The 23,988-nt window shown below is 43.9% G+C and overlaps 1 protein-coding gene, 1 long non-coding RNA gene and 1 pseudogene across 9 annotated transcripts in view, besides 12 other annotated features; 1 reads left to right on the top strand and 2 right to left on the bottom strand.

Moving 5' to 3' along the window:
* GPR160 (G protein-coupled receptor 160) overlaps nucleotides 1-23,324 on the bottom strand; it is a 47,398-nt gene extending 24,074 nt beyond the window's left edge. For 4 of the 7 annotated variants that reach the window (XM_024453449.2, XM_005247346.5, XM_017006161.3 and 1 more), the window contains exons 1-2: nucleotides 23,104-23,324; nucleotides 22,276-22,404 (exon numbers count right to left, since the gene is read on the bottom strand). The gene's annotated coding sequence lies outside the window, so the exon portion shown is untranslated. Of the gene's footprint in view, nucleotides 1-11,414; nucleotides 11,459-22,275; nucleotides 22,405-22,848 lie in introns of those variants that run through there. The other 3 variants (XM_024453450.2, XM_047447959.1, XM_005247347.5) reach the window with 3 other exon arrangements.
* On the top strand, nucleotides 330-13,882 carry LOC124909455 (uncharacterized). Of its 2 annotated transcripts, XR_007096156.1 has the most exons (3): nucleotides 330-3,106; nucleotides 3,468-3,666; nucleotides 12,461-13,882. It is a non-coding gene; the product is annotated as an uncharacterized LOC124909455 (long non-coding RNA). The 2 variants fall into 2 exon arrangements; XR_007096155.1 differs by lacking the exon at nucleotides 330-3,106 and having other exon boundaries at nucleotides 3,419-3,666.
* Nucleotides 3,890-4,018, bottom strand: RNU4-38P (RNA, U4 small nuclear 38, pseudogene; annotated as a pseudogene).
* Nucleotides 3,978-4,197: an enhancer, noted in NCBI's record as "active region_20798". NCBI's record gives its function as "activates an Ori minimal core promoter by ATAC-STARR-seq in GM12878 lymphoblastoid cells {active_cell/tissue: GM12878}" and the evidence as "EXISTENCE:reporter gene assay evidence [ECO:0000049][PMID:35858748]".
* Nucleotides 5,009-5,508: an enhancer, noted in NCBI's record as "H3K4me1 hESC enhancer chr3:169773599-169774098 (GRCh37/hg19 assembly coordinates)". NCBI's record gives its function as "activates a minimal SCP1, AML or CMV promoter by ChIP-STARR-seq in primed H9 embryonic stem cells {active_cell/tissue: H9 hESC(primed)}" and the evidence as "EXISTENCE:reporter gene assay evidence [ECO:0000049][PMID:30033119]".
* Nucleotides 5,649-5,698: an enhancer, noted in NCBI's record as "active region_20797". NCBI's record gives its function as "activates an Ori minimal core promoter by ATAC-STARR-seq in GM12878 lymphoblastoid cells {active_cell/tissue: GM12878}" and the evidence as "EXISTENCE:reporter gene assay evidence [ECO:0000049][PMID:35858748]".
* Nucleotides 5,729-5,788: an enhancer, noted in NCBI's record as "active region_20796". NCBI's record gives its function as "activates an Ori minimal core promoter by ATAC-STARR-seq in GM12878 lymphoblastoid cells {active_cell/tissue: GM12878}" and the evidence as "EXISTENCE:reporter gene assay evidence [ECO:0000049][PMID:35858748]".
* Nucleotides 6,119-6,258: an enhancer, noted in NCBI's record as "active region_20795". NCBI's record gives its function as "activates an Ori minimal core promoter by ATAC-STARR-seq in GM12878 lymphoblastoid cells {active_cell/tissue: GM12878}" and the evidence as "EXISTENCE:reporter gene assay evidence [ECO:0000049][PMID:35858748]".
* Nucleotides 14,983-15,142: an enhancer, noted in NCBI's record as "active region_20794". NCBI's record gives its function as "activates an Ori minimal core promoter by ATAC-STARR-seq in GM12878 lymphoblastoid cells {active_cell/tissue: GM12878}" and the evidence as "EXISTENCE:reporter gene assay evidence [ECO:0000049][PMID:35858748]".
* Nucleotides 15,103-15,603: an enhancer, noted in NCBI's record as "H3K27ac hESC enhancer chr3:169763504-169764004 (GRCh37/hg19 assembly coordinates)". NCBI's record gives its function as "activates a minimal SCP1, AML or CMV promoter by ChIP-STARR-seq in primed H9 embryonic stem cells {active_cell/tissue: H9 hESC(primed)}" and the evidence as "EXISTENCE:reporter gene assay evidence [ECO:0000049][PMID:30033119]".
* Nucleotides 16,183-16,232: an enhancer, noted in NCBI's record as "active region_20793". NCBI's record gives its function as "activates an Ori minimal core promoter by ATAC-STARR-seq in GM12878 lymphoblastoid cells {active_cell/tissue: GM12878}" and the evidence as "EXISTENCE:reporter gene assay evidence [ECO:0000049][PMID:35858748]".
* Nucleotides 21,945-22,444: an enhancer, noted in NCBI's record as "NANOG-H3K4me1 hESC enhancer chr3:169756663-169757162 (GRCh37/hg19 assembly coordinates)". NCBI's record gives its function as "activates a minimal SCP1, AML or CMV promoter by ChIP-STARR-seq in naive H9 embryonic stem cells {active_cell/tissue: H9 hESC(naive)}" and the evidence as "EXISTENCE:reporter gene assay evidence [ECO:0000049][PMID:30033119]".
* Nucleotides 22,300-22,349: a silencer, noted in NCBI's record as "silent region_14879". NCBI's record gives its function as "represses an Ori minimal core promoter by ATAC-STARR-seq in GM12878 lymphoblastoid cells {active_cell/tissue: GM12878}" and the evidence as "EXISTENCE:reporter gene assay evidence [ECO:0000049][PMID:35858748]".
* Nucleotides 22,510-22,559: a silencer, noted in NCBI's record as "silent region_14878". NCBI's record gives its function as "represses an Ori minimal core promoter by ATAC-STARR-seq in GM12878 lymphoblastoid cells {active_cell/tissue: GM12878}" and the evidence as "EXISTENCE:reporter gene assay evidence [ECO:0000049][PMID:35858748]".
* Nucleotides 22,870-23,349: a silencer, noted in NCBI's record as "silent region_14877". NCBI's record gives its function as "represses an Ori minimal core promoter by ATAC-STARR-seq in GM12878 lymphoblastoid cells {active_cell/tissue: GM12878}" and the evidence as "EXISTENCE:reporter gene assay evidence [ECO:0000049][PMID:35858748]".

The following is a 23,988-nucleotide window of genomic DNA, read 5'->3' as shown; positions in this document are numbered from 1 at the left end:
ATTTGTTGTTGTTGTTGTTTTTTATCTTTCTTTTTTTTTTTTTTGAGACAGAGTCTCACTCTGTCACCCAGGCTGGAGTGCAGTGGCGCCATATCGGCTCACTGCAACCTCTGCCTCCCAGGTTCAAGCGATTCTCCTGCCTCAGCCTCCCGAGTAGCTGGGATTACAGGTGCCTGCCACCACGCCTGGCTAATTTTTGTATTATTAGTAGAGATGTGGTTTCACCATGTTGGTCAGGCTGGTCTTGAACTCCTGACTTCAAGCAATCCACCCTCCTGGGCCTCCCAAAGTGCTGGGATTACAGGTGTGAGCCACCGTGCCCGGCAATACTGACATTTTTGAAGAGTCCAGGTCAGTTATCTTGTAAAATATCACATAATCTCGATTTGTCTAATTGTTTTCTCAATATTAAACATTTCTGGCAAGAAAACTATCTAGATGATATATCCCATTATGTCATGTCTCATTACTGGTCATGTGATGTTAGGTCACTTGATTAAGGAGGTGTTTGCCATATTTCTTTTTCTTTTTATTATTAGTATTATTTTGAGACAGGGTCTCACTGTGTTGCTGAAGCTGGAGTGCAGTAGTACAGTCATAGCTCACTGTAACCTAGAACTCCTGGGCTCAAGTGATCTTCCCACCGCAGCCTCCTGAGTAGCTAGGACTATAGAGGTGTGCACCACCATGCCCAGTTAATTTTTTTTTAAAATACTGTTTTGTAGAGATGGGGTCTTGCTGTTGCCCAGGCTGGTCTTGAACTCCTAGCCTCAAGCAATTATCCCTCCTAGGCCTCCCAAAGTGGTGGGATTATAGGCATGAGCCACCTCGCCTCGTCCATTTTACTGTTGTAGAGGACCTTTTCCCTTTGTAATTAATACTTTGAGACTGTTAGACCAATCCGTTGCATAACAAAGTTTCACCTGATAGTTTTAGCATCCGTTTATTATCCTTGCCTGAATTAATCACCACACTGGGAGTTGTAAAATAGTAATTTTCTAATTCTAAGATTCATTCTGCTTTCATGAGCTGGCAGTTGTTTCTGGAAATACATTATAGATTCATTGATTTATTTTTATTAAATGTGTTATAATTCACTGCCATCATTCTTCTTTTGAATGCTTAAAATTTTCCAAATCATCTTGTCAGGGTTCCTTCAGGCTGGCTCCCATATGTATCTTTTGCCATCCCAGTTGCTGAGCACATGCCCGCTTTGGCACGTTGTACTTCTGGTCATTTTTTTTCAAGGAGCCCTGTTTTTTTTAGGAAAATATGGTATTTTAAAACTAGAATCTGGGTGGCACACTGATACCTCCAATGCAAAGCTACCATCTCAGGAGTCTTCCTCACCTTATTTCAGTATTTGTGAAATAGTGAAATACATACTTGAAAGATCATCTCCCACAGCAAGAATCTGGTTCCCACGTGGACACATGGTGGGAAACACCACACACTTGGGCCTGCTAGAGGGGGGAGTGGGGGGAAGAAAAGCATCAGGAAAAACAGCTAATGGATGCTGGGCTTAATGCCTAGGTGATGGGATAATCTGTACAGCAAACCACCATGGCACCCGTTTCCCTGTGTAACAAACCTCCCCATCCTGCACATGTACCCCTGAACTTAAAAGCTGAAGAAAAAAAAGGGCAGGAAGCCACACTAATAGCAAATTAGAGATTAACTTAAAGGATCAGGAAGGGTCCCAGCAGGAAGCAGACTCCAACTCCTGTGATTGAATACAGAATTTCAATGAAGAAATTAACAACAAAAAAGAACCTGGTTCCCAATGACATTAGTATATTGATTCATTTGTTCAAACTACAATACATATTAAGCAGTTTCAGAGTTACTACACTGATAGCATTGCCCAACAATTAACCAGGTAAATAAAGCCTAATTTTTTCCATTCTTTTTGTCCCTTGACTATATTCCACTAAGCTTATACAGTCTGAGTACTCTGTTATAAAGTTATCTGAATTCTCTTCTTTGTATTTATGTAATCAATTTGATATAGTGTTTTGATTATTAGTTTCTCTTTGTATATTCAATGACAGGATTTCCTTTGTTTTCATTATTTTTAGTTCATTTTAATTTTATATAATTGAATATGTAAAATATTTACATGGCTCAAAATCAAAACTATATAAAAAGGTACGCTCAGAAAAGTCTCATTTCCATACTTATTTCCTCCACTAATATCCACCCACCCCCTATCATTTATTTCTGGTTTATAGTTCCTGTGCATCTTTCTGCAAAAATAAGTGTGTGTGTGTGTGTGTGTGTGTGTGTGTTTGTGCATGTGTGTGTGTACATGTGTGGTTATTTCCCTTTCCATCTTAAATACAAGGTAGCACATTAGATATACTTTTTGTGACTCTTTATTGCCCCTTAAAACATCCTAGAAAGCATTTCATCTTTGTTAATAGCTATCTTCCTTTTTAATTTTTTAAAAATTGTTTTTATGGCTGCATTATGTAGATATACTATAGCTTATTCAGCCAGAGTTCTATGAGTGGACATAAAGGTTGTTTCCAAATTTGTTCTATCTGCAAATAATGTAGCGATGAACAACCTTCTGTACATATTCTTTGCTATTTTGTGGAGGTGTTTCCTCTGGAATAATTACTAGAAGTGAGGCCATTAGGTCAAAGGGTGAATGCTTACATAATTTTGTTAGATATTGCCAATTTTTCCTTCATAGGGACTGCTGATCATCATTTTTGAATGACGGTTTAACTAGTATTGAATTCTAAGTTGAAGATAATACTCTCTTGTGTTTTCAATTCTATTGCTGATGAGAAATCTGTTGTCAATGTAACCACTGTTTCTTAGAGGTATGGCAGAAACTTATTCTCCATTTTATCTTCCCTTCTTTTTCCCAGGCACGTGGCTGACCTGTTTCCCAGGCTCCCCAGAAGTTAGGTATGGCCGGTGGGGCGTGAGCAGACATGAGGAAGACCATTTCTGGCCTAGCTTATTCCCCACCCACCCACTTCCTGTGGGAAAGCAGGGCAATTCTGAAACCCATATGGGTGCCGTCAGCTGGGTCCCTGAGGGTACAGCCACCCAGTGGCCTGAAATACCCACCCAGGCCTGCTACACGAGAGAAGTAAGCTCGTACTGGATTTGATCCATTGCATTTTTGGTCTTTTTAAAGCATTTTAGCCCACTTGACTTAATACAAAACTGTTCTAACTGGTTCTTTTTCCTATCCCTCCCCCTTGCTTCTACTTCATAATTTTTATCTACTGCAAGACTTCATTCATCGTAAGAATTCTAAACATACTTACTTTATTGTCATTTCCAGGAATTCCAACTGCTAATTTCACTTTTAGTAAATTCGTGTCTTGCTTGAACAAATTTTGAACTCCATATCTATGTCTTCATGTATTTTAAAGTTTTGCTTTGCAAGCTTACTTTCAGTAGGAGTTTTCGATTGCTGTATCTTTCCCTCCTCTCTCCCTTCCCAGGCAGCTTTCAGTCCCTCCACCTGGCCTCTCAGGACTTCTTCCAAACCAGGTCTCAAAATGCCACTTGGTGTTCCTGCTCAGTTGTGGTATCAGCGATACTGCGGATCCAGGCCCTGGGCCAAGAAAGCAGCATGGCTCAGCTTCTGGTTCTGAAGCTGTGTCTTTGTCTCTGAAACTTCCAGAAGCCCATTCCTTCCAGGTAAGCCATCTTTTCCAGCCTTCCTTCTTAGGTTTGGGAGGGAGGGCACTGCAGTCTCTGATTTCAGTGTTGCCAATGTTTCTTAGAGGTATGGAAGAAACTTAGTTATTCTCCCAATTTACATTCCCTGGAGCCTGGCTCCAACTCCTTGGTATCAGCTCATGTGGATACTTTTACATCCCTATCTTTTCATTTTTTAATTTGTTTTTAATGTTAAGTTCAGTCTCCATAGAGTCTCAAAAATTGCCAGTGCCAACCATATTTCATCATGGCAGGGTATTGAGAAAAGTTTTCAATTAGCAAGTGCCTCAGATAAACTTCACTGGCTATGAAATGGCCACTGCACAAAGCTATATCCCCTTATTCTAAAAAACCTGAGTTTCTGGTTGCCCCTGCTGGAGAGGCCTGCAGCTTGAGCCTGCTTACCCCTTTGTATTTCAACTTACATTCTAGGTAACTAGAATGACTATAGCCCAACTATACTTATTTGGTTACCCTTTTTATATTATAACTACCTTTGCTAGGTGTTTGGAGCCTGAACTCCTGTGCCATCTTGACCAGATGTCATCACTTAAATAATTGTTTTGCTCTCCTGTGGCTCCGGTATACATTTTGTAAGACCCTCTTTACATAGTATGCACTCAAGCTAAACATAGTTCTGAGAAGTCTTGGTATTGCCAGTTATGAAATGACTTCACTGTATCATTTGCCTACTTTCAGTCTCATACAAGTATTAACTAGAGCACTGATGTATGAAATGTGGTATTCTGCATATACCCACATTATAGTTACTGTGATGGTTCAACTACCTTGTGATTCACCATGGCCCATAGGCTTTTTCTGCCAAAAATAGGCACAGTGCCAATCATTCTCCAATTTGAACCTCTTACTTACAAAATTAATTAGCCTTCACGTGATTCTGTCCAGTATTTTATAAATACGGTACCCCATTAATGCAGGTTATTTTGACTTCTGTTTCTAGTATTTCTCGCATACAAACATATACACTAATATGCCACCAGTTATGGATTAAAACTGATTAAACAGAATGGTTCCCAGACTGACCTCTAAAAGGTTAAATGATGACTTATCCCACACTGGAACCATATCCTTGATAATGTCTCTGTGTTACCTTCCCACCGTCTAACTGTGGTATCATGTGAGCTAACCTGTTTCCCCGGGCTGTTATTGATTATGTCATTCATAATGAAATCAATAGCATGAGAAAGTTAAGATTATGTCCCCTGCTTCCTCCAGATCCGTAAAATGTTCTTGAAAACAAATCAGGTTACACTGACACAATTCATTTTTCTATAAAGCTACCATGAATTTTTACTCAATGCCTTATGTTTGCTTGTAAATTAGTATTCTGGTGATGTATATTTTCACATAAACTTCCCTTACAATGTGACTGTATTTTATTGACTGCAAATTCTACACATATATTCACCTCGTCATCATTTTGGTGGGAACAGATAAGTAATACAAGTATAAGGTTCAGAATTAAAGAGAAAGGAGTTGCATACCTTGTACTAGTCATTCAGGTACTGAGTTTTAAGAACAACATCAACAAATAGAAAATATATCTTAAAAAAAATCAACAATATAGGAATGGGATTAATAAGAGCAACAAAGGATTATAAGAACAGTTGTTCAGATACTTATGGGCTGACCGCTTAGCAAACATGCTCACAGAAGAGGTTTAAAAAGAGTTTTTAAGGCCGGGCGCAGTGGCTCACGCCTGTAATCCCAGCACTTTGGGAGGCCGAGATGGGCGGATCACGAAGTGAGGAGATCGAGACCATCCTGGCTAACACGGTGAAACCCCGCCTCTACTAAAAATACAAAAAATTAGACAGGCGTTGTGGCAGACACCTGCAGTCCCAGCTACTCAGGAGGCTGAGGCAGGAGAATGGCGTGAACCCGGGAGGCGGAGCTTACAGTGAGCCGGGATCGCGCCACTGCACTCCAGCCTGGGGGACAGAGCGAGACTCCGTCTCAAAAAAAAAAAAAGTTTTTAAAAGAACATCTGAACTAGAGATTGCCTCCTGGTTCTCAATGATTATCATGTCCTTTAGTCTTGCTTTCTTCATCAAAATAAACGGCCTAAGCATACAATGATCTGGAAAGTAGCAATCAGAAATCTGTGCTCAATAGTCCCTGAGACCCCACTCTCCATCCCGGGCTTCTGAATGTGGCTCCTTGTATGACTCAACCACCAGAGAGGTTATGACATTCTTCATGCTTAGTTGTTCATGGTTTCTGAAACCACGGTTATTCATCATTGCTGAGAAACTGAACCAGAACAACCACCTAAGGGAGATCCTTTTTTCACCATCACATTGTCAGGTGTGATGTCAGGACCCAATCAGCCGGGGTCCAGTTCTCCTATAAGTCTTTGGTAACAGTATCCCAGACCTACGCCAGCTTGCCCCACTACCATTCTACCTGTTTTGTTTCCATTCTCAGGATTCAGAAATATAACATACACATCTCCTAAGAACGACTTTATATCCATACAGTAGAATATTATTCAGTCTTAAAAGGAAATGAAATCCTGGCCGGGCACGGTGGCTTATGCCTATAATCCCAATACTTTGGGAGGCCAAGGCAGATGGGTCACCTGTGGTCAGGAGTTCGAGACCAGCCTGGCCAACATGGTGAAACCCTGTCTCTACTAAAAATACAAAAAGTAGCTGGGCATGGTAGCAGATGGCGGTAATCCCAGCTACTAGGGAGGCTGAGGCAGGAGAATCACTTGAATTTGGGAGGCAGAGGTTGCAGTGAGCCAAGATCGGGCCACTGCATTCCACCCCGGGTGACAGAGCAAGACTTCGTCTCAAAAAAAAAAAAAAGAAAAGAAATTCTGATACATGCTGAAGGTGGAAGAACCCGTAAGACATTACACTAAGTGAATAAGCAGACAGAAGATGACAAATATCATATGATCCCATATATATGAGGTACCTAGAATAATCAAATTCATAGACAAAAAGTAAACAGTAGCCAGGAGCTAGGAGAAGGGAAGAATGAGGAGTTACTGTTTAATGGGTGCAGGTTTTCAGCACAGGATGAAAAAGTTCTGAAGATGCGTAGATAGCAGTATCAGTTGCTCAACAATGTGAATGTACTTAGTGCCATTGACCTGTACACTTAAAAATGGTTAAGATGGTAAATTTTAGGTATATTTTACTATAATGATTTGACCTGAGCAGCTCAGTCCTTCTATTCTGCCAGAAGGTGGTGATGTTTTCTTAGCCCCTGCTGTCTGCTTCAATGTCAGGCAAAAGCAATTTTGAAGAGACAGTTTTCTGGATACCTCTGGGACCTCAGGGCCTTTGAACTTGTGCTTCAGAAGACCATTCTGCCTGGGATGGTCTTCTTTCTTATACTCATGTAGCTTGCTCCCTCAACTGCCTGAAGTCTTCACTTAAATGATACTTTTTTTTTTTTAAGCATGAGACTAATAATGATGAGAGTTTAAGATAAGTTTGTTGGGCAGGCAGGGCTCTCAAGCCAAATAACTCTACACACACATACACACACACACACACAAACGCTGCTTTTTAGTTTATAAAATATTTTATGGAAATTGTCTGATTCAAATTGTCTAAATCATGTTCCTGAACTAATATTCCATGCACAAATGCCAAGATATTCAAGTGTTAAAGCTGAGTAATTAAAAAAAAAAACAAAAAACCAAAATGGGTAACTGTGGTCTTTTCCCTAATTTGAGGTGAAGAGAAAGTGCCAACAGATGAAAAATAAATATATTCACATTACTGAATACAGAAAACAAGCATATGACCATCTTGAGAGATGCAGAAAAATCTTTGGAAAAAATTCAACAACCATTCATGATAAAAACCTCTCAGCAAAGTAGGAAACTGATGGTTTCCTCAACCTGATAAGGAACATCTATGAAAAATCTATAGCTATCATTATACTTAAGTGTGAAAGACTGACCACTTTACCCCTAAAATTGGAAACAAGGTAAGGATATCTGTCCTTACTACATCTACTCAACATTTTAGGATATCCTAGCCCATTCAGTAAGGCGAGAAAATAAAAGAAAGGCATACAGACTAGAAAGGATAAGATAAAACTATTTGTAGATGGCATTTATGTATATTGATAATCCTAAGGTACTTACAAAAAATCTACTGGAATTAATAAATGAATTTAGTTAAGATCACAGGTCAATTTTTAAAACCACATTGCTATATATAGCAACAAAATTCAAAAATGAAGGAAAATATATCATTTCCAATAGACTCAAAAACATAAAATAAGAATAAATTTGTATAAATATTTATAAAATGTCAATGCTAAAAGCTACAAAACACTGCCAAAAAAACCTAAAGACCTTAACAGAGATATGCCATGTTCATGGATAAGAAGATTAATATTATTAACATGTCAATCCTCCCCAGATTAGTTGATTCAATGTAGTTCTGATCAAAATCCAACCAGGCCTTTTTCTTTTTTAAAGATATTCACAAGCTGATGCTAAAATATATATGAAAATACAAAGGGTTAGAATAGCCAATAACAAAGTTGGACGACTTACACTACCTGATTTCAAGACTTATAAATTATAGAACTCAAGACAATGAGCTTAAGAGTTCAAACCAGTCCACTTGATTTATAAGAAAGTACCAATGCAATTCAATGGAGGAAAGGAAAGTCTTTTCAACACACTGTGCTGGACTAACTGGATAACCGTATGAAAAAAAAAGGACCTTAACTCCACTTCACACCATTAACAGAAATTAACTCAGGAGAGATCACAAGCATAGCTATAAAAGGTAAGACTCTACAAGGAAAACAAAGGAGAATATGTTTGCAACCTTAGAGTAAAGAATTCTCAAGCAAAACACAAAAAGCACCAAATAGAAAAAAAATTGATAAAGTGAACTCATTAAAATTAGATTCTTCTGTTCATCATAAGAAAATGAAAAGGCAATTACAGACTGGGAGAAAATGCTTACAACACATCTATCTAACAAAAGACTTGTGCCCAGACTACCAGACCACATATATAAAGAGTGCCTACAAATGAATAACAAAAAGTCAAACTACTCAAACAAAAATGGGCAAAATACTTAAAAAGACACTCCAAAAAGAATATGTACAAATGGCCAATAGCAAACAAAAAGGTACTCAACATCATTAGTTATCAGGATAAAGCTAATTAAAATGACAATGACATACAATTTCACATCCATCAGAATGACTAAAATCAGAAAGACCAACAATACCAAATATTGGAAAAGATGTAGAGTAACGAGAACTCCTATACGCTGCTGTTTGAGGTGTAAAATGGTGTATCCCCTTGGAAAATAGTGTGGCATTTCAACATAGGCTTATCCTATGATCCAGTACTTCTACTACTAGATATTTACCTAGGAGTAATTAAAACAGGTCGGCCAAGTGCAGAGGCTCACGCCTATAATCCCAGTACTTTGGAAGGCCAAGGTGGGCGGATCACTTGAGGTCAGGAGTTCGAGATCAACCTGGTCGACATGGTGAAACCACGTCTCTCCTAAAAATACAAAAATTAGCTGAGCATGGTGGCGTGCACCTGTAATCCCAGCTACTTAGGAGGCTGAGGCAGGGGAATCACTGGAGCCTGGGAGGTGGAGGTTGCAGTGAGCCGAGAATGCGCCACTGCACTCCAGCCTGGGTGACAGAGTGAGACTCCATCTCAAAAACATAACAAAACATGTCCACAAGACTTGTATAAGGTTCAGCAAGTACTTATTAGATATAAGATTAAAAACACAAACCATAAAAGAAATCAACAACTTAGGCTTCATCAAAATTTAAAACTTTTTTTTTCTTTAAAAGGCACCATTAGGGAAAAAGTCATGGGTCTGGGGAAAATATTTTCAAACTATTTATTTGTTTTTTATTTTTTTATTTTTTGAGACAGAGTTTCGTTCTCTCTCCCAAGCTGGAGTGCAGTGGTACGATCCTGGGTCACTGCAACCTCCGCCTCCCAGGTTCAAGTAATTCTTGTGCCTCAGCCTCCTGAGTAGCTGGGATTACAGGCGCATGCCACCGCGCCCAGCTAATTTTTGTATTTTTAGTAGAGGCGGGGTTTCGCCATGTTGGCCAGGCTGATCTTGAACTCCTGATCTCAGGTGATCTGCTGGCCTTGGCCTCCCAAAGTGCTGAGATTACAGGTGTGAGCCACTGCACCCAGCCCCAAACCATATATTTGATAAAGAATTTGCATCCAGATATATACCTTAAAATTCTTGAACCTCAATAAGAGGATGGTGAGAAATAATCCAGTTTTAAAATGGGGCAAAAGATGTAACTAGACGTGTCATCAAAGATGATATAGATCTATATTGATATCAATATAGATCAAATATCCAATAAAAAAGAAGACATATAAGTAACTAATAAGCACATGAAAAGGAACTCAACAGCATTAGTCATTAGGGAAATGCAAATTAAAACTGCCAATGAGACACCATTATATACCCTTTGGAATATCTATAATAAGAACGACTAACAATTTCAAATGTTGGCAAGAATGTAGAGAATCCTCATACACTGTTAGTGGGACTCTAACATTGCACAGCCGCTTTTGGAAAATAGTTTGGCAGTTTCTTAAAAAGTTAAACATAAACTTACCACATGACTCCGCAATTATACCCCTACAAATCTACTCAAGAGAAATACAAATAAGGTCCATACTAACACTTGTAGATAGCAACATTACCTCGTTTATAGCAACATTATTCATAATAGCCAAGCCCTGGGAACAATTCAAATGTTCATCAACTGGTGAGTGGATAAATAAAATGCAGTACATTTATAAAACTGTATGCTACTCAGCAATACAAAGGAACAAACTACTGATACATGCTGCAACATGGATGAACCTCAAAAATGTTGTGCTAAGTGAGAGATGCCTGACACATAAAACTACATATCCCAAGATTCCTCTTATTTGAAATTTCCCAGACAAGGCAAGAGACAGAAAGAAGTTCAATGGCTATCTGGGGCTACAGGTGGGAACTGATTGTATACTGGCAGAGAGACCAGCCTGACCAACAAAAAAATTAGGTGGGCGTGGTGGTGCATGCCTGTAATCCCAGCTGCTTGGGAGGCTGAGGCAGGAGAATTACTTGAACCTGGCAGGTGGAGGTTATGGTGAGCAGATTGCACCATTGTACTCCAGCCTGGACAACAAGAGCAAAACTCCGTCTCAAAAAAAAAAAAAAATTAGCTAAGCATGGTGGCAGGTGCCTGTAATCCCAGCTACCCGGGAGGCCAAGGCAGGAGAATCACTTGAACCTGGGAGGTGGAGGTTGCAGTGAGCTGAGATCGCACCAGTGCACTCCAGCCTGGGCAACAAGAGCGAAACTCCATCTCAACAACAACAAAAAAAAAAAGAAGAAGAAGTAAATTAGGCGGGCATGGTGGCAGGCACCTGTAATCCCAGCTACTCGAGAGGCTGAGGCAGGAGAATCACTTAAACCTGGGAGGTGGAGGTTGCAGTGAGCCGAGAACGCACCATTGCACTCCAGCCTGGTCAACAAGAGTGAAACTCAGTGTCAAAAAAAAAAAAAAGGAATTGTCTGAGTGTACCTTTTAGAATAAAGTTTACTTAATATCAGGTTCCTGGTCTGCTGGTGAGAGGAAAAAAGTATTAGAGAACCCAACAGTCTCAGACTCGTGAAGCAAAAACAAGCTTGGCAGCAATCAGGTCCGGCACATTCCAGACTCACCAAGTAGTCATTTCAGGCCTCCACCACCTGCTCCAGCTCCCAAGCCACTGGAAGACGGGTGCCGGGAGGAAAGGCTAAACTTTGTGGACACACCCTGAGGAAGGCTGCTGCCTGGTCAGTGACATCTACTGTGACTCAGGACTCAGGCCAGGAGGAAAGGAGCACCACCACCACAGGCAGCTTGCCCATCCTTCCGTCACTTCCTTTCCATTCCCCCAGGTCCCCTTAGAGTGACCCTCAGAGTTGGCTCTACACCAGCCCTGGAGGCGTGATGCGAATGAGGCATGACCCTGCTCCCTGGAGTCTGTCTACAGACCACACTACCCAGTGTCTGGGAGGGCACCATGTCAGGGCACTTTGTATACTCCTGCGGCATTTTAAGGAGGGTTTAAAACGTTCATGCCTTTTGACCCAGTGTCTGCACTCTGGTAACTTGTCATAAGGAAATAATCTGGGTTGAGGGAAATAATTACTGCGGAAGCAGTTCACTTTGGCATACTTATAATAGCCCACAGTATACCCTCCCCAGTCCCCAAAAGAATCAAAACAACTTAATGTCTAACAATAGGGAATGAGTCAAATGAATTATCAGACAGTCATAAGATGGATTACCACCTGCAGCCATGAAAGATAAACTTGAGAGAAAAACTAAATAACAGGAAAATGCTGACAATATAATGTTAAATGACAGATACAAGATAAAGCTGTGTGTAGCAGGGCTTCTCATAGGGGGATGAGATGAGATCCTGCTGATCCCTGAACCGGTGTTACTGAGGGGAGCCTGCTCTTGTCCTTACACGGTCTTACGTTAAGGGAGACAGGAGGGTGCAAACCAGTGGTAGACACAGTGGTACATCCCAGTATCAGGGAAATAGGAAAAATGTACGTATATTCACAGATCAGAGGTAATTAATGCCAGCCCACCGTGACTGGTAAGGTGGTGGCCTCAGGGACTAAGACTTCCGAAACTTGAATATAGATCTTGTTAAAAGACAGATTCTGATTCAATGTCTGGGGCAGGCCTGAGCTTTTGCATTTCTAACAAGCTCCCAGGTGATGCCATGCTGCCAGCCGACAGGCCACGCATGGAGCAAGCCTGAAGAGGACATTTGTCCTGGAGGGGGAGAACCCGGCGACACAAACAGCAACTGGTTGGTGAGAATAGAGGTACATGTTTACTTTTTACACTGTCCTGTATCTTCCACAATACAAATCTGTTGCTTTTGTGATAAGAAAGAAAACTTTCCAATGTTGAAAACCTTTGACTCAGTACTTATTTTTACAGGAATCCATCTCAAATAATGTGAAATGGGATCCAAGGTTTATGTGCATTCAAATTGGAATGATGTACAACATCAAAAAATGAGCAACAACTTAGTTCTCTAATATTTTAAAAGAATGGCTAAAAAAGCCTAAAATAGCATGCAGTCATTAAAAACATTTATAAAGACATAGGGGAATACAATGATTTTTTATTTAAAAAAAATTTTTTAATAGCTTTAGGTGTACAAGTGGGTTTTGGTTACATAGATGAACTGTACAGTGGTAAAGTCTAGGATTTTAGAGTACTCATCACCCAGGTAGTGTACATTGTACCTAATAGGTTGTTTTTCATCCCTCATCCCCTTCCCATCCTGCCCTTCTGAGTCTCCATAGTCCATTATATCACTCTGCATGCCTCTGTGTACCCATAGCTTAGCTTCCACTTACTTACAAGTGAGAACATATGGCATTTCGTTTTCGATTCCTGAGTTACTTCACTTAGAATAATGGCCTTCATGGGCATGGTGGCTCACGCCTGTAATCCCAGCACTTTGGGAGGCCAAGGCGGGTGGATCACCTGAGGTCAGGAGTTCGAGACCAGCCTGGCCAACGTGGTGAAACCCTGTCGCTACAAAAATTACCTGGACATGATGGCTGATGCCTGCAATCCCAGCTACTCGGGAGGCTGAGGTGGGAGAATCGCTTGAACCTGGGAGGTGGAGGTTGCAGTGAGCCGACATTGGGCCACTGCATTCCAGCTTGGGTGACTGAGCAAGACTTCATCTCAAAAAAAAAAAAAAAAAAAAGAATAATGTCCTTCAGTTCCATCCAAGTTGCTGCAAAAGACATTATTTTGTTCTTTTTATAGCTGAGCAGTATTCCATGGTGTGTTGTGTATGTGTATATGTGATGTGTATATATGTATGTGTATATGTGATGTGTATATACATATATCACATATTCTTTATCCACTCATTGGTTGATGGACACTTAGGTTGATTCCATATCTTTGCAATTGTGAATTGTGCTATGATAAACATATGCATGCAGGTGTCTTTTTGATATCGTCATAATGATAAATTTTAATCAAAGTATAGCAACTATGTTAAAATTCTAACATAAAATGAATTGTTTATAAAATGTTAAAATTTTTTAAATTTATAAAAAAACAAAGTAAAACAAAATAAAAAGGAAATATACCCAAATGTCAATGCCTTCAGATCCTTGGATTGTGGGTCATAAAAGACTTTTCCCTTTAAACCTTTCAGAATACAGTAAAGTTGAAGGCAGGCAGGATCAGGAGGCAAGGGCAGCAATGGAAAGTAGCTGAGGCCATAGGAAGAAGAGAAAACCTTGCGGTGAACAGGACAGTGCAGGCTTGGGGGGATGCGGTGAGGGTGTGGCAGGTACAGACTACACACTGAAACACCTGGCTGGAGTGCAGGAGAAGGACGAAGGGTTAGGTGAAGGTAGGATGGACTCTGAAGCTTTGGGTCTGCACCTGGGGCAGGAGGGAGAATCCAAAGCCTACTGCCTCTCTTCCTCCCACTGCCCCCTGCTGAAGGGGACCAGGCAAGGGCTGTCGACAGGGGAGACCTCTGCCCTGCTGCTTGGAGGGGAATCACTGGCCCTCCATTCAGCTTCCCTGGACACCATGGATGCTTTCAGCTTCCCAGCAACACCTTAGCTATCAATCTCTAAAGTGCTTCCTCCTCAGAATTACTTAAGGGCATAAAGAATAAGAACTCATGTTACCTCTCTGATACAGTAAAATGAAGGCCATTCCATGTTCTCATTTCTGGCCTGAACCTGGGTTCACTTCTGTACCTCCTCTCCTGAAACAGGCAGCCAAAGGCAATCGAAACAAATGTAAACAAACAGAAACCTGCATTGCTAGTTTAAAGATCAAACCAGATAGCCCTTTTAGGAACTATAAAATATTAAATAAACATTAGTTAACAGCATCTATATTACTTTTCCAAGTTAAAAAGTAAGCCTCTCAATGTATCTGTTCTATGATTTTACTACTAAGGGGCAAGTCAGGCATTGTACTTTGCTGTGTCTGTGTCAGGATTTCATAAAATGTTGTTAGCCCCTCACAACATTCCTATTAGATATGCTTATCCCCAGGTGACAGAAGAGGCACTGGCTGCCCAGAAGACCTGGCCTTAAACCCCTGCCAGGCGGTGGCATAGCTGAGGCTGGGACTCCTGTGTCCCAGCTAACACTAGCCCGCTCTCTCATAAGGGGTTGGAGTTTGTATCCACATGAATGCTAGGGGATTCCAACTCCTTTCCACAGTCAGTGGAGATTTTAATCCCCGAACAACAAAGCCAAAGCCCTGGCTCAAAGTCACAAGTTGTGGCCCAGTTCTCATCAATTCCAAAGCTGCTGCTGCACCAAACACCCTGTTAGCATTTGTCATGGAGAACATTTCCCTAAGGCCATGTGGGAACCCAGATGGGCAGCCCATGGCTCACTCCACGAACAGAGGTCAGAGCTCAGATGCATTTCTTCCCTGTGGTCTTTCTTCTAACATTATGTGGGGGAAATTCTCCCCAGTAAAAGTGAAAGTAAAGGAAGCAGGGCTCTAACAACAACAATAATAATAGCTAACTCACAATCCATCCTACTCCATGCCAGGCACTGTTACAAGCACTTGACGTGCCACTGAATCCTCACCGCCCTATGATGTAGGTATTATTATTACTTCTAGCTTACATAGGGGAAACTGAGGTACAAAGAGGTTTTAAAAAATGAGTCAAGGTCACACAGGTGGTGGAAGAACCAGAAATGAAACCCAGGGATCTGGCTGAGTCCATACTCAAGACTGCTTGGCCTCTCCCTGTTTGCTCTGGCTAATAACCAATTAACCCACTCTTCCTTGACAAGGGGGTTAATCATCACCTGAGGGAGCACACAGCCACAAACCTGAATCGCAGAGTTCTCCAGAAAGGATCCCATCAAGCCGCTGGTCTGGCATTCACAAAACATGTCAGCCTCTGAACTCACTTCTTTTTTTTTCTTTCTTTTTTTATTTTTTATTTTTTTTGAGACAGAATCTTGCTCTGTCGCCCAGGCTAGAGTGCAGTGGCGTGATCTCGGCTCACTGCAACCTCCACCTCCTGGTTCAAGCGAGTCTCCTCCCGAGTAGCTGGGACTACAGGCGAGTGCCACCACCCCTGGCTAATTGGTTTTTTTTTTTTTTTTTTTTTTTTTTTTTTTTTTTTTTTGTATTTTTAGTAGAGACAGGGTTTCACCGTGTTAGCCAGGATGGTCTCGATTTCCTGACCTCACTATCCACCCACCTCGGCCTCCCAAAGTGCTGGGATTACAGGTGTGAGCCACCATGCTCGGCCTGAACTCACTTCTTTTGGCCAAAACAAGCTGTTCCACTTGGAGCCCTTGTTTATTCCATGTCCGTTTACACACACACCTAGACTGACAACTCGAGTGACAAAGGCCCACAACAGCACCTGACATTTCCTGAAAGCCACCCAACAAGGTTCACTTTTGTGCCATTTCCTCTTTTCATTCTCCTCCACGGCACACGTACATGGGAAGAAAATGCAGAACTCAGGGGAAGGAAACAAAGATCTAAAGAGAAACTTCAACTGTCATGAAACTCCAGCTATTCACAGAAGCGAGAATGTTTGCCCCGTGACCCTTAACCGAAAGTTTCAAGGCAAGGAAATTAAGCCACCCTTGGACTTGCATCACAGAAACCCCTTAAGGCTGGACTATGCGGGTGCCTCAGCTCCTCATCCCTGCAGAGCTTTCTTGGGGGGCTGTGCCTAAGCAGTGTATAGAAGTGGACTTGTCATCAGCAGGAGAGTGGTAGGCAGAGAAGGATGGGGGAGAGGGGCCCTTTGCAAGTCCTAGGAACCCCTCAGAGTGGCTGGGGTCCAGCTCAGAGCAGCTACAGTGAGCTGATGCACAACTTCAGGATCCACATGGGTCCCCTGCTTAAAGGGGAAGGGTTAAAGGCCTTTTTGGTGCCCCATCCCTGCAGGACACCCTGGGGAACCGCCAAGGTGCACAAGACCCACCTGCCTACTCACAAAGACCCAATGGTGTGGGAGTTTGGAGCCATTCCTTTTCCCTACTGAGGCCTGCCCACACCTACTCCATTCTTGTCAAACTGCAGGGGGTAGCGAACAAGTTCCTTATAAGTGAGAAAATAGGCAGCATGGGAGAAAAATGACAACGCGGCTTGTATTCGTCTGACAGAGAAGCACTGAGACTAAACACAAGACTCTCATTTCCTCAAAGGAATATGCTCTTTCCCATTTTTCTCTTCTCTTTTTTTTTTTTTTTGAGATGGAGTTTCGCTCTTCTTCCCCAGGCTGGAGTGCAATGGCGTGATCTCGGCTCACCGCAACCTCCGCCCCCTGAGTTCAAGTGATTCTCCAGCCTCAGTCTCCCAAGTAGCTGGGATTACAGGCATACACCACCACGCCAGGCTAATTTTGTATTTTTAGTAGAGACGAGGTTTCTCCATGTTGGTCAGGTTGGTTTCGAACTCCCAACCTCAGGTGATCCCCGCACCTTGGCCTCCCAAAGTGTCTTTCCCATTTTTCTTGCAACAAGAGCCTCTCAACCTATATTTTGTTATTCCATTTGGGGTAGAGACACATACATAGAAAGATCTCTTACCGTTAAAAAAAAAAAAAAGTACAATCTCAGGGCTGGGGACTATTTTAGGGGTTGCTGGGGGCTGAGGGGACTGGGATGTACTACCCTTCCCTAAAGAGGCAGCTGCTCTAGTATTGCCGTTGGGAATCGTTAGGGCAGAATATTTGACATTTCCCAATTTTCAACGCTCACTCAGTGTTTTTTTTTAAGCTCTATGCTGGCCCGACAGAACATCTGTTGGTCAGATGTGACCCATGCCCCCCGCCTGTCACCAGGACAGTGGGGTGTGATAAGAAGATAGTTTGCCTAGACTACCCAATTCTTGGGCGTATTGCTCTGCTTCCTGCTAAAGGTAGTGTGAAACTGCCAGAAATAACGCAGACTGTCAAATCTGACAGAGCTGAGTTTGAATCTAGCTGCAAGACCTCAGGCAAAAACTATTAACCTCTAGCTACAACTTCCATTTGCAAAATGGACTGATAATACCCAACCTAGAGACATTTGTCAGAATTAAAAACGTGTGTGGGCCAGGCATGGTGGATCACACCTTAATCCCAGCATTTTGGGAGGCCGAGGAGGGTGGATCACCTGAGGTCGAGAGTTCCGAGACCAGCCTGGCCAACATGGTGAAACCTTGTCTCTACTAAATATACAAAAATTAGCCAGGCATGGTGTCTGGCACCTGTAATCCCAGCTACGTGGAAGGCTGAGGCAGGAGAACTGCTTGAACCCAGGAGGCAGAGGTTGCAGTGAGCTGAGATCACACCATTGCACTCCAGCCTGGGCAACAAAGCAAAAACTCTGTCTCAAAACAAAACAAAACAAAAAACAAAAATGTGTGTGAATGTCTGTAATCCCAGCACTTTGGGAGGCTGAGGCGGGCAGATCACGAGGTCAGTAGATCGAGACCATCCTGGCTAACATGGCGAAACCCCGTCTCTACTAAAAATATAAAAAATTAGCTGGGCGTGGTGGTGGGCACCTGTAGTCCCAGCTACTGGGGAGGCTGAGGCAGGAGAATGGCATGAATCCGGGAGGCAGAGCTTGCAGTGAGCTGAGATTGCACCATTGCACTCCAGCCTGGGTGGCAGAGCGAGACTCCATCTCAAAAAAAAAAAAAAAGTGTGTGAAGACTACCAGAAGACTACCATGAATTCTTTTTTTTTTTTTTTTTTTTTAAGAGAGAGAGTCTTGCCCTATCGTCCAGGCTGGTGTGCAATGGTGCAAACATAGCTTACTGCAGCCTAGAACTGCTGGGCTCAAGCCACCCTCCCCACCTCAGCCACCACCACACTGGCCAATTTTATTATTATTATTATTATTTATTTATTTTTTTTTTTTGTAGAGATGGGGGCCTCACTATGTTGCCCAGGCTGGTCTTGAACTCTTGGCCTCAAGCAAACCTTCCTCCCCTCAGCCTCCCAAAGAGCTGGGATTACAGATGCGAGCCACCACACCCAGCCCATGAACTCTTTTCTTTGGCCAATGAACTCTTGATAAATGTTAAATTTCCTTCCCTGTCTCCCTAAAGATGTGATTTAAAGCAATCTTCTTTAGATTTCTTTCTTTCTTTTTTTTTTTTTTTTGAGGCAGTATCTTGCTCTGTCACCCAGGCTGGAGTACAGTGGTATGATCACGGCTCACTGCAGCCTCAACCTCCCAGGCTCAAGCAATCCTCCCACCTCAACCTCCTGAGTAGCTGGGACTACAGGCGTGCACCACCATACCTGGCTAATTTTTATTTATTTATCTTTATTTTTTGTGGAGTCAAGGTCTCACTATGTTGCCCAGGCTGATTTCCTTATATTTCAATGTTCCCATCTGTTAAAAACCAAAATTGCCCTCTATCACCACTGCTTCGCCTCACAGGATGGGATGAGGTGATGCAGATGAAAGCGAAGTGTTTATGAATCTAGGAGAATACTGTTGACTAGATTGCCAACACTCTTTCCTATCATTTCTAGCCCAACAAGGGAGCCATTTGCTTTTCTAATGCGTTCATACCCTTAATAATGTGAATCAGGGCGAAATGGTGTCACATTTGTGGTAAGTCCTTAAAATGGCTATTAGCAATCAACTCTCCAGAGTCCAAATCTACCACTCTCCTACAGAGGAGAGTAAACATTAGTTTGGTCACTAAAGGGCCTGGCAAGTTTCTTTTCTCTTTCCATGCTTTTAGGGAACTAGAGAGGAAACTGAGGTATAAAATAAAGTTACGTGACGGTTGCATACTTCTTTCATTCATACCAAGAAAACAGAGCCACAAACCAAACAATTTCACTTCATTTAAGAACCATCATGAATTCACTGTGGTATCTCCCCCCACTGTAAGGGGATTTTTGTTGGTTGTCTCATTATTTTCCCATCACAGCAGTGAAATTAGGACATGCTTCAGCATTCCTCAACCGAATCTTAAAACATCTTTACGGCCGGGCGCGATGGCTCACGCCTGTAATCCCAACACTTTGGGAGGCTGAGGCGGGCAGATCACGAGGTCAACAGATGGAGACCACGGTGAAACCCCGTCTCTACTAAAAATTAGCCGGGCGTGGTGGCGGGCGCCTGTAGTCCCAGCTGCTCGGGAGGCTGAGGCAGGAGAATGGCGTGAACCCGGGAGGTGGAGCTTGCAGTGAGCCGAGATCACGCCACTGCACTCCAGCCTGGGTGACAGAGCAAGACTCCGTCTCAAAAAAAAAAAAAAAAAAAAATCTTTACATCCTTTAGACTAGTGAATCTACACGAGCAAGGTCTACGCCGGGGAGATTCACCGAACACTTCAACTTTTAACTGTCCCAGATCTCATCTCTTTGACTTGTTTTATCTTTAAATCAAAAGGCATTACATTCAGTTATACTGAAGCGACTAAAAAATGTGGATTTACCTTTTGGAAATATACCTCCCCTTCCTCCCTCTACTAACTTCAACAGCTCCCTCTCAGAATCACTATTCCAAAGTACTGACCAAGCATGACAGAATGAGTAGGAATTATAGGCTAAATCTGGAGAAAAGAAATCTGGAGCAAGCCTGATGAAGATATAGCTATTACTCCTTCCTTACCCTCTTTCAAGCATGATTCTTAAAAAAAATGTGTTACCACCATGCAGAACTTTTAGGAGTCAGTGCTTTGCTAAATATTTACATGTCATGATCGCTGAAGCAAACAAGATAAAGATGAAATAGGCAACACAACACAGCTAAGCTCTCTCTCAAGCAATAAGCAGCCCTCTACTCATCTTGTGCTTTGTTTTCATCATATACACTTTTTACTGAGGCATGCAATGCTTTCAGAAGTGTACATAAATCCTAAGTGCATACCGACACGTGTGTTCACTACTGCAAACTCTGTTTTTTGATGAACACAACTTGGAAGGGATTTGGGCAATTAGGAAAAACTGCTAACACGTTTTATACAATCCGCCCGACCGGAGGCAATCAACCCCCAGGCTTGCTAATGCCCTTTGTGTAAAAAAAGCTGACCTAGCCTCCACCTGCATCAACTTGATCCGCTCAGCTTTGTCACACTCAGCAAACACCCTCTGCCTTCTGAGCAAAATAAATCGGCACCTCCAGTAGGGAGAAAAAAACTTTTTATGACCGAGTCTGGAGAAGCAGCCTTGACACCCAATTTACAAAGAACGAGCGTCTGCGGAAGACCTTGCATCTAGACTCGGCTGCAGTGCCAAACCTACCTTATGCAAAAAAGCTCCACAAGTGGTGGTGTTCTGTTTAAAGGAAAATGCCAAACACACACAAATACTGAAACAATAGCATAAGGACTTCCATAACCATCATCCAGCTTCAACTATTTTTATTTTTGTTTTACTTTAAGTTCTGGGATACAGGTGCTGAATGTGCAGGTTTGTTAATAGGTATACATGTGCCATGGTGTTTTGCTGCACCTATCAACCCGTCATCTAGGTTTTAAGCCCTGCATGCATTAGGTATTTGTCCTAGTGCTCTCCCTCCCCTTTCCCCCCACCCTCCGACAGGCCCCCGTGCCTGAAGTTCCCCTGCCTGTGTCCATGTGTTCTTCCCAGCTTCAACTATTAACAATCCATGAACAATCTCCTCTCATCTTGTTCCCCTCCCTTCTCTGCTAGCATCTAAAACTGAATAATTCTGAAGCAAATCCCAAAGCTGTATTTCAACTTCAGTCTGTGTCTCTACAGGGATTTTAAAAACCTTAATCAGGATACCGTTACCAAAAGTAACTAAACAGAACTATTATAATTTCCTTGATACCATCAAATAATCAGTAGAAATGTCCTTCATCGTCTCCTTATTTATTTATTTATTTTGAGACGGAGTCTCGCTCTGCCTCCCAGGCTGGAGTGCAGTGGCGCCATCTCGGCTTACTGCAACCTCCGCCTCCCGGGTTCAAGCGATTCTCCTACCTCAGCCTTCCCGAGTAGCCGGGATTACAGGCGCGTGTCACCACACCCAGCTAATTTTTGTATTTTTAGTAGAGAAGGGTTTCACCATGTTGGCCAGGCTGGTCTCGAACCCCTGACCTCAGGTGATCCACCCACCTCGGCCTCCCAAAGTGCTGGGATTACAGGTGTGAGCCACCGCACTCGGGCATCATCTCCATTTTAAAAAACATTCATCAAATCAGGATCCAACCAACGTCCACACCTTGTATTGCCACCGAATTTCTCTTAAATCGTTTTGAAACTGCACACAGGTCCTCCTCCCTGCAATTCGCATAGCAACCAAGCTGATCCTCACTGACAATTTCCAAATAACTATAATAACTCTATTCTGGAGATATCACAAGTGCCGGTCTTAGAGCTTGTCAAATGTATACATATATGTTTATATTTATATATAAATGCACAAAAGCACACAAGAAACCATTTCACTCGAAGCAATAACAATCCTGAGAGCTAAACACTCGTTCATGTCTTTTGTGATGCTTCTCGGTGGGGGTTATCTCTGGGATTTAAGCGACACTTCCCCTTACCGGAGACATTTGCGCAAGTGTAGGACGAAGCGAGAGCGGTTCCTTCCAGCCGAACCTGCCTCCGGAGGCCCGGTCCGTGCGTTCGTCTCCGGACTGCAGGGGGCGGCCCTGCCACCACCTCGAGGCCACCTGCGCAGGTGAGAAAAGGAGTTTCAGTCTCCGGGTTCCTGGGGGTGGTCGCAGGTAATCTAGAGGGAATTTTGAGCCAGCCAGGATGGTCATCCAGGAACCTACCCGGACGCAACGGCCTCGGAAAACAAATAGCCGGGCAAGGCCCTGGGGCTTAATCCCAGTGGCGGGCGCGGGCGGGGGCGCCGTCCCCAACGCTCGAGGCCAGGGGAGGGGAGGCAAAGTCGGCCCCAATGAATGCACGCACGCGCGCGCGCGCGCGTGTGTGTGAGACTATTCACCTCTGGGCGCCAGGAAAGAGCGAAGAGTTGCATACACCCATTTCTATAACCTTGCTGGGTTTGTCATGTTTAAAAAGCATCTCCCCTGGAGAGAGGGTGGCGAGTCTCTGGGTGCGGGACACGCCCATTCCCCAGACCCCCTGCCCTCAAACCCACGACAGACCCCAGTTGCTAAGGCTCCGCGGTAATCCCCATCCCGAAGCAGGAAGGCTCGGGCGTCCGGGCTCCACTCCTGGATCTCTTAAGTAGCAGAGAACCCCCAGCCCCTGAGTTCCTGCAAAGGAAATTCCTTCCCCTCCCAGGCGCGCTGAACGCCCGGCCAGGGAGGCTGGGAGCGGCGCGGGGACCGTTCGCCGCCCCGAGGCTGGGACGCCGGTGGCGAGAGCGCCGGGCGCCCTCCACCTGCGCCCGCACTCACCCGAGGATCGATGGCTGTCGGCTCCGCAAGGTTGAGGCCCCGACACCTGCAGCGCCCGTGCCCAGGTGACCGCCCGAGGGAGGGGCGAGGGCCCAGCTCGCCCGCCTGGTCCCGCCCCGCCCCGCCCCGCCCCGCGCGCTCCCGGGAGGGGCAGGGGAGCACGGCCCCGGGACCCCGCGGCGACCCTGCTGTGGCTCAGCCGGCTCCAGACCAGGAAATGCGGGCGTCAGAGACGGGCAACCTTTGAGCGCGCACGTCCCGTCCGGGCCCAACGAAACAAGGGCCGGAGGGCGCCGCCTGCCGGCGGGACGGAAAGATATCACAGAGACTGTCACCCCCCGCCGGCTAGGAGAGGGCTGAGTTGAGGCTGGCAGAGGGACGCAGCCAGGGGTGCGCAGTGCGGGAGCCGCTTGGGGGCTCAGTGAGACCCCCTTCCTCATGCCACATCTTGAGGACCCGGCCCCTGTCCTAGGAGCTCCCCATCTCCCCAGCAGGCGGGCGAGCGGGGGCCACTGGGTCAGGGCCTCTCCTTCCCTTACCTCTGCAAATGTAAACTTGGCAGTTGTCTCCAGATAAGAGTTTACACAGGGTGGCCAGGCGGTGGCTCATGCCTGTAATCCTAGCACTTTGGGAGGTCAAGGTGGGCGGATCACTTGAGGTCAGGAGTTTGAGACCAGCCTGGCCAACATGGTCCACGTTGGTCCCCATGTCTACTAAAAATACAAAAATTAGCCGGGCTTGGTGGCACGCACCTGTAATCCCAGCTATTTGGGAAGCTGAGGCACGAGAATCGCTTGAACCCAGGAGGCGGAGGTTGCAGTGAGCTAAGACCGCACCACTGCACTCCAGCCTGGGCAGCAACAGCAAGACTCCGTATCAAAAAAA

This window comes from Homo sapiens, chromosome 3 (genome assembly GCF_000001405.40).
Source record: "Homo sapiens chromosome 3, GRCh38.p14 Primary Assembly".
NCBI lineage: Eukaryota > Metazoa > Chordata > Mammalia > Primates > Hominidae > Homo > Homo sapiens.
Note: the sequence above shows the minus strand (reverse complement) of the source record. Positions and strands in the feature narration are given on the sequence as shown.